We start from the raw sequence: 14,730 nt of genomic DNA on the forward strand, positions 1-14,730 counted from the left end.
AGCATTCTTTTTAATATTATTTTTATTAAATTAACTTTGTAGTAAAAAGTCCAAGAAAAGCCCTGTACAGAAATCACATGTTTACTAAATCCTGGATTTTCTGTACAGTCCCTACATACTTCTACTTTAAAATTCTTCTGTCATGTGAAATAATTCATTAAAAGAAGCAGGCAGATGATGACAGGTAAACTTTTTAATGATGTTCTAATGTTGACAATTGCAGTTTTATTTTGCTTGGATCATAATGGCGTGTAAGCATTTTAGGCCCCAGAATGCCCATAAGTAGAGCTCCATTTGGAGCTGTGATCATGATGGCTAAAAATGCTACTGTCATCACATCCTTCGCATATGTTTCCAAGTGGGGTGTGGAGACTCTTGCTGTTTCTAGAGCCAGAGGACCTAACACAGCCTACATTTAGGGGTAAAAATGGGGCATAAAGAAAAATATTAAACTGAGTTAATATATAATGTAAATGGCTCTGTTAAAATAAACAAAATCTAGTACTAGACTATTAGAAAAAAAAGGACTCAGTAATTTTCATAAGTTACTCATCAGTTCCATGTTCTTCCTAGGAAATATATGTGGAGGAAGAGTACAATAGTGACAAATCAGCATGCAAACATTTTTGGGCTGATTTTGCACTCTTGTCCTCTCAGTGTTCCTCTATTGAAATATCTCTTTTGAGTGTTGCCCTCATAACACCAGGAGTTCTAATGAAGCCGGTTTTGCTTAGTTGCCTTTATTGTGTACCAGTGGTTTTTGACTACAAGAAGACAAAATAAAATATTAAGTTTTCTTATGGTTCTCTAGGATTTGTTGCCCTTCTTTTCATTGTTCTCCTTATTCAGGGGGCACTGGGTTATAGCAGAACTGACAGCAGGCTTGGAATCTAGCAAACTGGGTTTGAATTCTATTTTTGCTGCAACCAGGCTAGTGACCTTGTACAAATGACTCACACTCTTACTTGTACATGTACTTACTTACATGTAAAACGAAGAACAAAATATTTATCTTACTGGACGGTTGTGAAAATTAAATATGAGAATGTGAAGAATACCTGGCACAGAGTAGGTATTCAGATAGTAGTAAGTTTCTTTCTCCTTCACTCCTCATCCCCTGCCAGGTCAGAGAATGAGTTCCTTTGAAGTTTTTGTTTTAGAATGACTCTACTGGGTCACAAGTTTTTTTCCCTAGTTACCTTCTACCATATTATTTTTAATAACATAAAGCAAATTTCTTGCTAACTCTCTTTCCTTGTGTTTAATAACTAGGGATGAAATTGCCTTAAAATTTGGGGGAATTAAATACCAATATATAACATATTTTCTATGGAGTTGCAAAGTAACAACATAATGGTAGAAACATTACCTCTGATATGGAACATTATGGCAAAAGAACCCCTCAATTTAAGATCAATTTATATATCCTAAATCAATAATTTAAAATGGTATTATTTTTATATCATAACTTTAAATGTACTGAACATGATCCAGTGTGCTGGAGGATGCTAGGGAGAAAGAAATAATCATGCAGAAAACCACCTTGAAAGAATCTTACAGTTTAGAAGAGGATTTGAACATAAAAGAACTGCCAACAGAAAAAAACAAAAACAAAAACCAAACCCATTGACTTTTAAGAGATGATGACGATAATGGTGAAACTAGAAATAATATTTTTATAGTTATATGGCATTCATCATATGTCAGGTATCATTCTTAAAGCTTTCCATTTATCAATTCATTTAATTCTTATGACAACCTTATTATGTGAGGACTTTTATTAGATGATAAATGATTTCCTCCTAGTGACTGAGATTTAATATTATTTCTTCAAAAAAATCCAATTACCAAGCTGATCTTACATTTGTAAACTAAATTATTTATTTAATCTCCTAATAGCTTCTATTTTTCCAGTCCAATTTTTATCAGTAACTCAAAACTGAGGAACAAGAGAAAGCTGAATCTTAGCCAATTTTATTTTAGCAGCAGAGAATGGCAGAAGAGGATAAAGGTGAAAATAATTTAAAATTGAAATTTAAATATTTGTTGATTGTATTTACTCATGACATTATTGTTATCTATTATTGCTGTTGTGACTCTACTTGTATAAATAATTAATTTTTTATGTCTTGCCAGTTTCTGGGACCAGCTTGATATTCTTTGTGTAGAAGCTAGCCTGGAGCCAGCAGACAGGAATAGGCAGAAGCAGAATAATACTGCAGGACTCAAGTGAGTGGTCTCTTTCCTCATACCTGCTTTTCTTTTTTCCCTGCTTTATGAAAATTATGAAATAATGAAACAAAATTGCAAGAGTATTGTTGGAAGGAGAGAGAACAGATACTCCTTTTGTAGATTTATTATTCCCTACAGTAGACATTAAAAATAAAAGTTATTTATATTACTTGGAGGTAAGATAAAATAACAACATTGTTTGCTAACTGAGCACCACCATATGCCAGAGAGAGTGCTAAGCACTTTACGTAGATTATCTCATTGAGTCCTGACAACACTGCTAAGAAACAGATACAGTCATAGACTTCATTGTAAGATGAGAACACTGAAGAACTGATAAACTAGAAAATAATTTTCCTGAGGTTATAGGCAAGTAACATGGTATTTGAAACAGGTAGTCTGGCTCTATGAACCTGCTTTTCTAACATGATAATAGAGGTTTTTTTGCATGAAAATTTAGGAGCTTCTGTTTTAGAATAACAACTAAGAAAACAGCCACAGGAAATTAAGGTATATTATGTTGCCAAGTTAAACAGTCTAACAAGAAGTAGCCATATATTTTAGTAGGAGGAGAATATCCTTGAATAACAGGGCAAAATTACAAGGTTTCCCTTTCCGTTCATTCATACTTGTAGGCATGCAATACGTATTTGCCTCCTGCATGTCAGGCACTGTGTTAAGTGCCAGGGAGAAATAATGAAAAACAACTGCAACTACCAGACACTGTCCCTGTCCTTAAGTAGTCTATCAAGGGGGCGGGGGCAGGGGTTTAGCCATTAACCAAATAGTATACAAATAAATGTGTAATTAAAAATATATGTGCATTTGTGTGATGGAGTGAGTGGCAAGGTAGGAAAAGTATTTTTTAAAAAATCAATGTGTCTCCATTTTACTTTACTTTTTTTTTTGCGACAGGATCTCACTTTGTCACCCAAGCTGGAGTGAAGTGGCATGACCTCAGCTCACTGCAGCCTCAACCTCCTGAGTTCAAGCAATCCTCCTGCCTCAGCCCCCAAGTAGCTGTGACTACAGGTGCGTGCCACCACACCTGACTAATTTTTTTGTATTTTTTGTAGAGACGGGGGTTTTACCATGTTGCCCAGGCTGGTCTTGAACTCCTGAGCTCAAGTGATCTGCCTGCCTCAGCCTCCAGAAGTGCTAGGATTACAGGCATGAGCCACCATGCCTGGTCTGTGTCTCTACTTTTTAAAATCATAACATTCAGCTTTGTTATATTCAGCAACATATAAAAACTCTAATTTTCAGATATATTCTTATTATGTATTTTAGGAAAATAAAAAACATATTTTCATAAACTTAGGAAGTACTTATTGAAACAATACCTTTTGATTTCAAATAGGGGTTGCTTTTAAAACTGAGATTTCAAATGTTATGTTGGCTAGGCCCAGTGGGTTATGCTTGTAATCCCAGAACTTTAGGAGGCTGAGGCAGGAAGATCACTTGAACCTAGGAGCTCAAGATCAGCCTGGGAAACATAGCAAGACCTCCTCTTTAAAAAAAAAAATCAGAAAGAAAAGGCCAGACACAGTGGCTCATGCCTGTAATCCCAGCATTTTGGGAGGCTGTGGCGGGTGGATCACTTGAGGTCAGGAGTTTGAGACTAGACTGGCCAACATGGTGAGACCCCATATCTACTAAAAATACAAAAATTAGCTGGGTGTGGTGGTGTGCAACTGTAATCCCAGCTACTGAGGAGGCTGAGGCAGGAGAATCGCTTGAACCTGGGAGGTGGAGGTTGCATTGAGCTGAGATCATGCCACTGCACTCCAGCCTGGGCAACAGAGTAAGACTGTCTCAAAAAAAAAAAAAAAATCTGAAAAAAAGCAGTTGGGTGTGGTGGCAGGTGACTGTGATCCTAGCTACTCAGGAGGCTGATGTGAGAGGATTGTTTGAACCCAGGAGGTTGAGGCTGCAGTGAGCCGTGATCGTGCCACTGCACTCCAGTTTGGGTGACAGAGTGAGACCTGGTCTCAAAATGAAAATAAAAATAAAAATAGAAAAAGTTTACATTGAGTTTCTTTGTTTGTTTCTGTTTATTTATTTATTTATTTATTTGAGATTGAGTCTTGCTCTGTCGCCCAGACTGGAGTACAGTTGTGCCATCTCAGCTTACTGCAACCTCCGCCTCTTGGGTTCAAACGATTCTCCCATCTCAGCCTCCTGAGTAACTGGGACTGGTTACGTTAATTTTAATGAATAGTTATGATCAATCAAACATTTAAAAATAAGGATAATAGCTCATATTTTGTGATTGGAGTAACATTTTTCATTTTAAATTTTAAAAGCATCAAAATGAAAGCATTAAGCAATAGGCTTAATATGTTCTTACCTGTACTGTAGCTTTGGGCATCCATGCTAAAGCAATAAATATTTTCTCCTTAAAACTAAAACCAGCAAAGCACATCAATAGATATATGTTTAAAATTCGAACACATAATGCCAAACTCAGAGTGGAAACAGATATGCCTACAACAGATGAAAACAAACATAAATAACAAAATATTTGTGAAGAAATGTTCTTTATGCCCAGGAATATGATTTCTAAGACTTTTGAAAGCATTTTAAGGCTTTTTTCTCTTCATGTGTTTAATTTTTACATAAAACAATGATAATAAAAAATGAATATGATGGAGGATTCTCTGTAAAGTGCAAGACAGTATCTGATGGTGGAGGTACCATGAAAAATAAGGCAGATGACATTTATACAATTCTGAACTAATAGACTTTTTTTGAATACTTTTATTATTATTAATAATAATTTACTTTTTGAGAAGGATTCTTGCTCTGTCGCCCAGGCTGGAGTGCAGTGGTACAATCTCAGCTCACTGCAACTTCCGACTCCCGGGTTCACGTGATTCTCCTGCCTCAGCCTCCTGAGTAGCTGGGATTACAGGCGTACACTACCACACCTGGCTAATTTTTGTATTTCTAGGAGAGATGGGGTTCCCCATGTTAGCCAGGCAGGTCTTGAATTCATAACTTCAAGAAATCTGCCCGCTTCGGCCTCCCAAAGTGCTAAGATTACAGGCATGAGCCACCACACCCAGCCAATAGTTTTCAATGAAAGTATTCAAAAAGTGCTGATCGTATCAAATATGCTCCCTCAGAAAAGAAATCTTATATTTATTTCCTTAGATAACTCAGGGAAGATATTCAAGGCTGTCCTTGGTTTAAAAAAAAAGAGCACACAGTGTAAAGGAAGAGCAATATGAAAATATGACACTGTATCAACATGTGTTTCTGAAGAAGGTCCTTGTAGCCATTCAAAGATATATTGTAAATAAAAATAAATGTATTTATAACTTTTTAAATATTTTTGAATTTCATATTTTTTGTGCTCTAATTATTCTTACCAACAATATTTGATTCAAGCAATGAAACAGATACTTCTGCTCCAACTAAACCAAAAAGAAGTGGTTGAAAAATATCCCATACATTTGTAATAATCTTTTGGACTTTCATCTATAGAAAAGAGAAAAACATTTTTAATTATTTTGGCACATAAATATATTTCAGAAAGTTAAAGTCTCCCTCACCTTTTTTTTTTCACTTTTTAAGTATTTTAGAGATGGGGTCTTGCTCTGTTGCCCAGGCTGGAGTGTAGTGTCATAATCATAGCTCACTGTAGCCTTGAACTCCTGGGCTCAAATGATCCTCTCACAGTCTCCGAAGTAGAACTACAGGTGTGTACCACCATGCTGGGCTAATTTTTAAATTGTTTATCTAGATGGGGCCTCGCTATATTGCCCAGGATGGTCTAGAACTCCTATCTTCAAGTGGTCTCTGGCTGTGGCCTCCCAAAGCACTGGCATTATGGACATGAGCCACCATGCCTGGCCTAAAGTCACTTAACATTTAATAAATTTAAGACACTTTATTTTAATAAAAATGTTAAACTTAATTAATAAAAACTGAGCACTTCAATAGTTTTACTCAAACACTTAGGTAGAATTTGAATAAAAGAAATGCACAAAGCAATAAAATAATACTATTTGGCCATTTTGTCACAGAATAAGTGATGTCCTTAGGGTTCTAGCCATGTTTCGTATGAGTTCCAGATTTTGTCTCTAAGTTAACTGAACAAAGATAGAACTACGTCATGCCTGATGAGAACATACCCAGTTCATGCAAACATTTGGGTTCTCAGAAGGGGATTGGGAAGCCTTCCACTAACAACCATCCTGGAACTCAATCCTATTAAAGTGAATCCTGATATATATAGCATATGCTACTAAGAAAAACAATTTGGAAGTCTGCTAGGCCTGCTTCCAAAGAACCCATGTTGAGTACTTTAGAGTTACTTTTTCCTTAAAACAAAACCAAAACATATATTAGATTCTCATTTAGCTGCCTACCCAGCTTCCCTTTCTGGAAAAGAATGTCTCCCAGTGCCACTTTCCCAATTAAAAGGTTACAGGAAAGGCCCCTATTGGCCTACATTACTCTGGCTCTTCTCCAGGAATTTGGATGAAGAGATTTCAGTCTCAGTCTGGGTTTAATTTTTTTTAAAACAGAAGATACATAAGAACTTTGATGCCTCTTCCTTGAGGCATAAACTATCTTCATAACTATTTCCCTTATGACTGTGTTTTCTGATCCCCACTTATTATAGTTTAAAAAAAGAAAAACAAAGAAAAACGATGTTACTACTCTTTACAGCATAATTATCCTATTTGTTACTTTTAATCTTTAAAACTTGTTTTAGTTCTGTTTCTTTTACCATTTAAAAAAATTCTAGCAGTTTTAATTTTATTTATTGATTTGCATTTCATTCATTTCATTTCTTTTATAATTATGATTATATAAGAATACTAAGAAAAATGCCACTATGATTTTTGATTAGGGAACTTCTCAAGCTGATTCTAAAATTTATCTAAGAAAGAATGTATGTAGGAACAGCCAAAAAATACTTTAAAAAGAAGTATAATCTATATTAGATTTTGACACATAAAACTGCAGTGATGTAAAACAGTAGTGTTGGCACAGAAATAGAGAAGTAGGATTAAATAGACTTCAGAATTAATATATATGGGAGAATTTAGTTCATGTTAAAAAACTGAATTATTAATGAATTGGTCAATAAATAAACAATTTGGCAAAAAATGACTGTCTAGTTTATGTGCATATATCTGTATGTACATATTCATCACATGCAAATATATATGTGTGTCTGAATATGTATATATATTTATGTGTGTGTATATATATATATATACACACACATCAGGCATGATGTAGTTCTATCTCTGTTCAGTTAACTTACAAAATGTATGTGTGTGTGTGTGTATATATATATAGTTTGTAATATACACATATGTATATATGTATAACTTTACCTCACAAAATGTATGTGTGTGTGTATGTATATATATATAGTTTGTAAGATACACATATGTATATATGTATAACCTTACCTCACAGCATTCACAAAGATAAATTCCAGATAGATTAAAAGACTAAATGAAAAAACAAATTAAACAAACCAAAACTACCAAAATATTAAATGATAATACACAAAATAGTATATATTTGTAATGTTTATATGTTATAATCTTCAGTGAGAAAGTCCTTCTTAAATGAAATGCAGAATCCAAAACAAAAAAAGGAAAACCCAATAGGTTTGGTCATAGGAAATTTTACTTTCATACATCAGAAACCATAAACAAAGTTGAAGATAAGCAAAAATTATATGCAATATATACATAACAAAGGATCAGTAGCACTAACACTAAGAGAAACTATAAATTAGAAACAAAAAAATAAATAACCCAATAAAAACGGTCAAAGAAGATCATTTAAAAAGAATATATGAAGAGAAGCTTACTATACTACTAATCAGAGAAATGTAAATAAAGAATAACAACATCACATAATTGTAAGAAACTATAAGAATTGGATGGTGAGGTCATTTAATAGTAAAAAGAATAGAACTAGTGACAATACCAAGTGCTGTTGATGAGTTAAAGTATTAGATATTTTTGTGCACTGTTGACAGAGTGTAAATAACCAAAATTTTTGAAGGGATAATTTAGCAGTGTCCATCAAAATAAAACACAGATCATTTCCAGCCAGGTGTGGTAGCTCATGCTTATAATCCTAGCACTTTGCAATGTCAAGTTGGGAGGATCCCTTGAGCTCAGGATTTTGAGACCAGCCTGGGCAACATAGACAGAGACTCTGTCTCAAAAAAAAAAAATCATTTCTGGGACTCTATTCCTACAGATGTACCTGTAATCCCAACACTTTGGGAGGCCGAGGCAGCAGTATCACCTGAGGTCAGGAGTTCAAGACCTGCCTGGCCAACATGGTGAAACCCCGTCTCTCCTAAAAATACAAAAATTTGCTGGGCCTGGTGGTGCACGCCTGTAATCCCAGCTACTAGGGAGGCTGGAATAGAAGAATCACTTCATGAGCAACACTGTTTATGACAGCACTGTTTATAAATAACAAAAAGTGGAAACGATCTAAATGTCTATAAATAGAATACTGGTTACTTAAAAAATGTAAGGGGGTTAGATATTTGACAGTGGTGGAGAATAAAGAAATCTTTTACATTTTATTCTATATGCTTTATTCTTTTACAAGCATTTCTATTTTTATTATTTATTTGTTTATTATTATTTTTTGTGTGTGTGATGGAGTTTTGCACTTGTTGCCCAGGCTGGAGTGCAATGGCATGATCTCGGCTCACTGCAGCCTCCACCTCCTGGGTTCAAGCAATGCTCCTGCCTCAGACTCCTGAGTAGCTGGAATTACAGGTTCCCACCACCATGCCACCATGCCCAGCTAATTTTTGTATTTTTAGTAGAGATGAGTTTTCAACATGTTGGCCAGACTGGTCTCAAAATCCTGACCCCAGGTGATCTGTCCACCTCGACCTCCCAAATTTCTGGGATTACAGGCATGAGCCACCATACCTGGCCTTTTACAAACATTCTTCATGGATTAATTGTATAATTAAAATTTCAATGAATAAAATAATTAGATTGATATAAGTAATATAATAATATTATATAAAACTTGGGAAAAAGAGAAGCCTGATGTGATTAATTCAACTTCTGATTCCATATTAGTATTCTTCCAGCTGCTTTTCCTAAATATTTTATTTCCTCGATTGATTCATACACTTTCTTGAGGGTAGCAAACCTTTGGAATATTTTACAACCAGAATGAGGGGATTTCCTAAATATATGCAAAAAATTCAGTTGTCTTAGCTTTTAAAATATAGCATATTAAAAATATTCACCTTTTCTTGGGACCATTTTGTCCATTCAATGAAATGCAACACTAGTGTGCATAATCCTCCAGATCCATGTAAACCAATAGGTTGGCTGCCTAAGACAGCAGAAACAAACGTAATCAAAACAAGGAATCCTCTCTTCAATGTAATTTTTTTCTAGAATTAGATAGATATTTAGAAATTAGTTTATATTAAATATATAATACAAGATTTGACATTATCTACTACATATGTTTGACCCTTTGACATTATGTCTTTAAATGTTATACTAAATCTCTAAAATTTTGATTTTCTTTCTCACCATACATTTTAGCAGACTTACTACCAAGTAACAAAATTTCCAATTAATAACGTTTTACCTTCTGCCACATCTCTGATACTAGTATCAGTAAAATGGTTAAAGTATTACTTTAAGTGAAGAAGAAAAGAGACCCATAAAATCTCCAGTTTCATATAACATATCCAATGAATTCTTAAAAAATATTTGAATATCTCTTTGGTCAGTATGTTGCAACTAAATTTGGATGGAAATTACAGAAATATGAAAGTAATGACATGTTTTCCTTTAAGGCAGGAAATGGCTAAGTTTGAGAGCTGCCTTTGTCAAAGGATAGCTGGAGTGAATTTCAGTCAGAAAATATGCATAAATAAATGGGAACCTATCTCCCCCTAAAATGTTTAACGGAAAATTTGGGGGAAATTATCAAACATCAATAGGCAATTTAGTAGAGAAAGGGAAAGTATAATTCAGAGAGATACTCTGCATTAAGTATATTTTTTGACATTCCTTATTTGCCAAATCAGGAAGCAGAGACTTTAATCAAAGCCATTGTCCTGTATCAATCACTGCTGTGCTCAGTTTTAAATACAGAGTAGGCATTGGAGGCTAGTTTTAGAAAAATAGAGTTAAGTATTAAATTTCATGGATCTTACCAAAGTTTAATATTTTGGAAAAAATGTCTAATACTATACTTCTATAAAATAGATTTTGTATTTACCTGGTCTTCACTTGGAAAATATCGAACAAAAAATCCCAAAACAATTCCGGCCAGCAGACTAATACATACGTTCCTTAGAGAGGCTATGGCGTTATTAATCATACCACCTGTAGGGGCACACAATAAAAAAATTCACAAAGAAATATTTTCACATACACTACACATCAGAAAAGCAAATCTAGGTGGTTCATGAAGAAAAGTAAGCATTTTATAGAACAAATATATGCAAATGGTCTTTTTATAGTGACATGTATGAAAACACGTAGATCTATTTAGTACATTAAATATATATGCTCAAATAATTTAATATATACACACAACTCAGAAATGTCCATTATATAAATAGGCCAGAAAACAAAGACTTAACAAGCACAAGATGCTCCCCTTATATAGCCAATTTAAAAGACAGAGTGAGGTAGTCTGGGCGCAGTGGCTCATGTCTGTAATCCCAGCGCTTTGGGAGGCTGAGGAGGGTGGATTACTTGAGGTCAGGAGTTCAAGACCAGCCTGGCCAACATAATTAAACCCCATCGCTACTAAAAAACAAAAATTAGGTGGGCATGGTGGCACACAACTGTGATCCCAGGTACTCAGGAGGCTGAGGGAGGAGAATCACTTGAACCCGGGAGACAGAGGTTGCAGTGAGCTGAGATCGTGCCACTACACTCCAGCCTGGGTGAAAGATGGAGTCTACACCTCCAAAAGAAAAAAAAAAGACCAACTGGGGTACAAGAATGGAAAGAGACCGAAACTCTTGTGGCACTTAGCATATGGCTGGAAAGGGCTATATTAACAATTCTTCTTTGATGTACTATATGAAAAAGAAACAAATGATTTTAACATGAAAAGAACAATGTAATAACCACATAAAAAATTTTGTTCCAGGGTCAGTCCTAGAAACATTCAAGGGTCATTTAAGATTTCAGTACATTTAAGTTTCTGCTTTTGGTGAAGAAAAAAGGAAAAAAATATACAAAAGATTCAAGTATATTTTATATTAATTAATATTAATATATCCATACTTGTAGTTCATTGTAATAAGTAAAAAACAAAAAATAAAAAAACAGAATGAGTCACAAAAATAGTTCAGTTAAGCTCTGGGTAGTGGATTCAATATAGTACGTAAGTATATTTTTAGATATATTTTCTATTAAATATAACAGGCAGCACATGGTGGGCTCACACCTTTAATCCTAGCACTTTGGGAGGCCAAGGCAGAAGGATTGCTTGAGCCCAAGAGTTGAGACCAACTTGGACAACAGAGTGAAACCCCATCTTCACAAGAAAATAAGAAATTAGCCCGGTATGTGGTGTGTGCCTATTGTCCAAGTACTCAGTAGCCTGAGGGAGGAGGTCCCTTGAGCTCAGGAGTTCGAGGCTGCCCTCTAGCCTGGCTGACAGAGCAAGATCCTGTCTCAAGAAAATAAAATATAATAAAAATAAAAAATAATATAAACAGAGTGTTGTCAGCCAGATGGTGGAATGGGAAGCTCCAAACCTTGATTCTCCATAAAGATACCAACTGAAAAACAATATATGGTCTAAAAGCCTTTATGGAGCTACATAAACCATTAAGAAGTTGTAGTAGCACAGACAAGTGCTAAGCCAAGAATAGTGGCATTGAACAAATAAGAAAAGCTGTTGCATTATACTCATGATACCCCTTCCCCAAGCTCGAGCAGGTTGGTTTGGCTGGGAAGCACTCAACTTGCAGCTTCTCCGTTAGCAGGGAAAGAGAAGACTGGAACGGAATAGTTTTATGAGGTTACCTGAAACTCTCTCTCTCTCTCTAACTTGACGCCCAACGGGCATAATTTGGATGCATGGGAGCCACTGGGAATAAAGGAGAAGTCAGAGATGATGCAGCACCAGGGAACCTGCAGTACCACAGACAGATACCAAAGGGAGCAACAGCTCTAGAAAAAGAAACTGGCAAACCTCTACTTGGGATGTTACAATGTATAAACCCAAAGAAGATGCATTCTCAGAAAAAGTTTGAGAGGCTGCTGGAACCTATAGCCATGCTGATTCAGGTATGAAGGTCTTCCGTGTGAAGCCAGCTGATAAAAACTGGGAGAAGTGGCAGTTTTTTCAAACGCCCAAATCTTGGCAAAAATAAATAAAAAGTAAAAAATAACAAGACATAAGAAGAAACAGAGAAATCTGATGACTAAATTAAAGGAGCAAAATAAATCTCCAGAAACCAACCCTACAGAAATAGGTAAATGAGTTACCTGACAAAGAATCCAAATTAACTATCTTAATGAAGCCCAGTGACAACAGAAATAAACAACTAAGTGAAAGCAGGAAATAATTCATGAACAAAATGAAAATATTAACAGATATAGAAACTGAAAAAAAAAGGAACCATACAGAAACTCTGGAGCTAAGGAATACAATAGCTTAATTGAAAAAATCACTATCAGAAATCACCATTAGACTGTGTAACTGCCCAATGGGTTCACCTCGTGCACTGCTTAGACAGAGCTGATTTATCAAGACAGGGGAATTGCAGTGGAGAAAGACTAATTCAGGCAGAGCCGGCTGTGCGGGAGATCAGAGTTTTATTATTCCTCAAATCAGTCTCCCTGAGCATTCGGGGATCAGAACTTTTAAAGATAATTTGGCAGGTCGGGGCTTGGGAAGTGGGGACTGCTTATTCATCAGGTTGGAGATGAAATCATACGGGGTTGAAGTGATGTTTTCTTGCTGTCTTCTGTTTGTGGGTGGGGTGGCAGAACTAGTTGAGCCATATTACCAGTCTAGGTGGTGCCAGCTGATTCATCCAGTGCAGGGTCTGCAAAATATCTCAAGCACTGATTTTAGGTTTTACAATAGTGATTTTATCCCCAGGAGCAATTTGGAGAGGATCAGACTCAGAGCCAGAGGCTGCATAATCCCTCAACTGTAATTTATAATGTTATAGCTAATTTGTTTATCCTGCAAAGGCAGACTGGTTCCAGGCAAGAAGGGTATCTTTTTGGGAAATGACTATTATCAACTTTGTTTCAGAGTCAAACCATGAACTGAATACCTTCCCAAAATTAGTTCATACTACTGCCAGGAATGAACAAGGACAGTTTAAATGCTAGAGGCAAGATGGAGTTGATTAAGTCTGATGTCTTTTGCTGTCATAATTTCTTCAGTTACAATTTTTGCAAAGGCAGTTTCAATAACATCAAGCAGAAGAAAGAATCAGTGAAATGGAAGACTAGTCATTTGAAATTATGGAGTCAGAGGAGCAAAAGGGAAAAGGAGTGAAGAGTGAGGACAGCCTAAGAGACTTACAGGATGCCATCAAGCAGACCAGTGTATGCATTATGAAAGTACCAGAAGGAGAAGAGAAAAATAAAGGGGCAGAGAGCCAGTTAAAAAAATAATGATCAAAAACTTCTCAAACTTAAGGAAGGAAGTGGACATACAAATCCAAAAGGCTCAAAGAACTCCAAGTTGGCTAATTTGCAAAAGACCTACAATGAGACACATTACAATCAAACTGTCAAAAGTCAAAGACAAAGAGAGAATTTTGAAAGGAACAGGATCAAAGCAACTTGTCACATACAAGGGAGATGCCATATGGTTATCAATGGAATTCTCAGCAAAAACTCTACAGGCCAGAAGAGAATGGGATGATATATTAAAAGGGCTGAAAGAAAAAAAAAAACTATCAACCAAGAACTGTATAGCCAGTAAAACTCTACTTCAAAAATGAAGGACAAACAAAGATTTCCCCAGAGAAGTAAAAGGTGAGGGAGTTGATCACCACTAGACCTACCTTACAAAAAATGTTAAAGAGAGTCCTCCAAGTGGAAGTGAAAAGGTATTGGATAGAAATACAAAAGAAAACAAAATATAAACTTCTTTGCTAAAGGTAAATACATGAGTGAACATAGAATCCTTTAATACTCTAATGGTGGTAAGCAAAACACTTTTTTTCCTTTACTTTTTTTTGAGACAAAGTCTTGCTCTGTTGCCCAGACTGGAGTGCAGTGGTTTGATCATGGCTCACTGCAGCCTTGCAGTCCTGGGCTAAAGCAATCCTCCCACCTCAGCCTCCTGAGTGGCTGGGACTACAGACATGCACCACTACACTCAGATAATATTTTTAAATTTTTAGAAGAGATAAGGCCTTGCTGGTCTCAAACTCCTAGGCTCAAGTGATCCTCCCATTTTGGCCTCTCAAAGTGCTGGGACTACAGGTGTGAGACACCACACCCAGCCTGTAATTCACTTTTAATT

At 35.7% G+C, this 14,730-nt stretch overlaps 1 pseudogene; it reads right to left on the reverse strand.

Annotated features, from left to right (window-relative positions):
* The window catches only part of SLC9B1P1 (solute carrier family 9 member B1 pseudogene 1), a 45,306-nt pseudogene continuing 30,580 nt past the window's right edge, over window positions 5–14,730 (reverse strand).

This window comes from Homo sapiens, chromosome Y (assembly GCF_000001405.40).
Source record: "Homo sapiens chromosome Y, GRCh38.p14 Primary Assembly".
NCBI classification, from domain to species: Eukaryota; Metazoa; Chordata; class Mammalia; order Primates; family Hominidae; genus Homo; species Homo sapiens.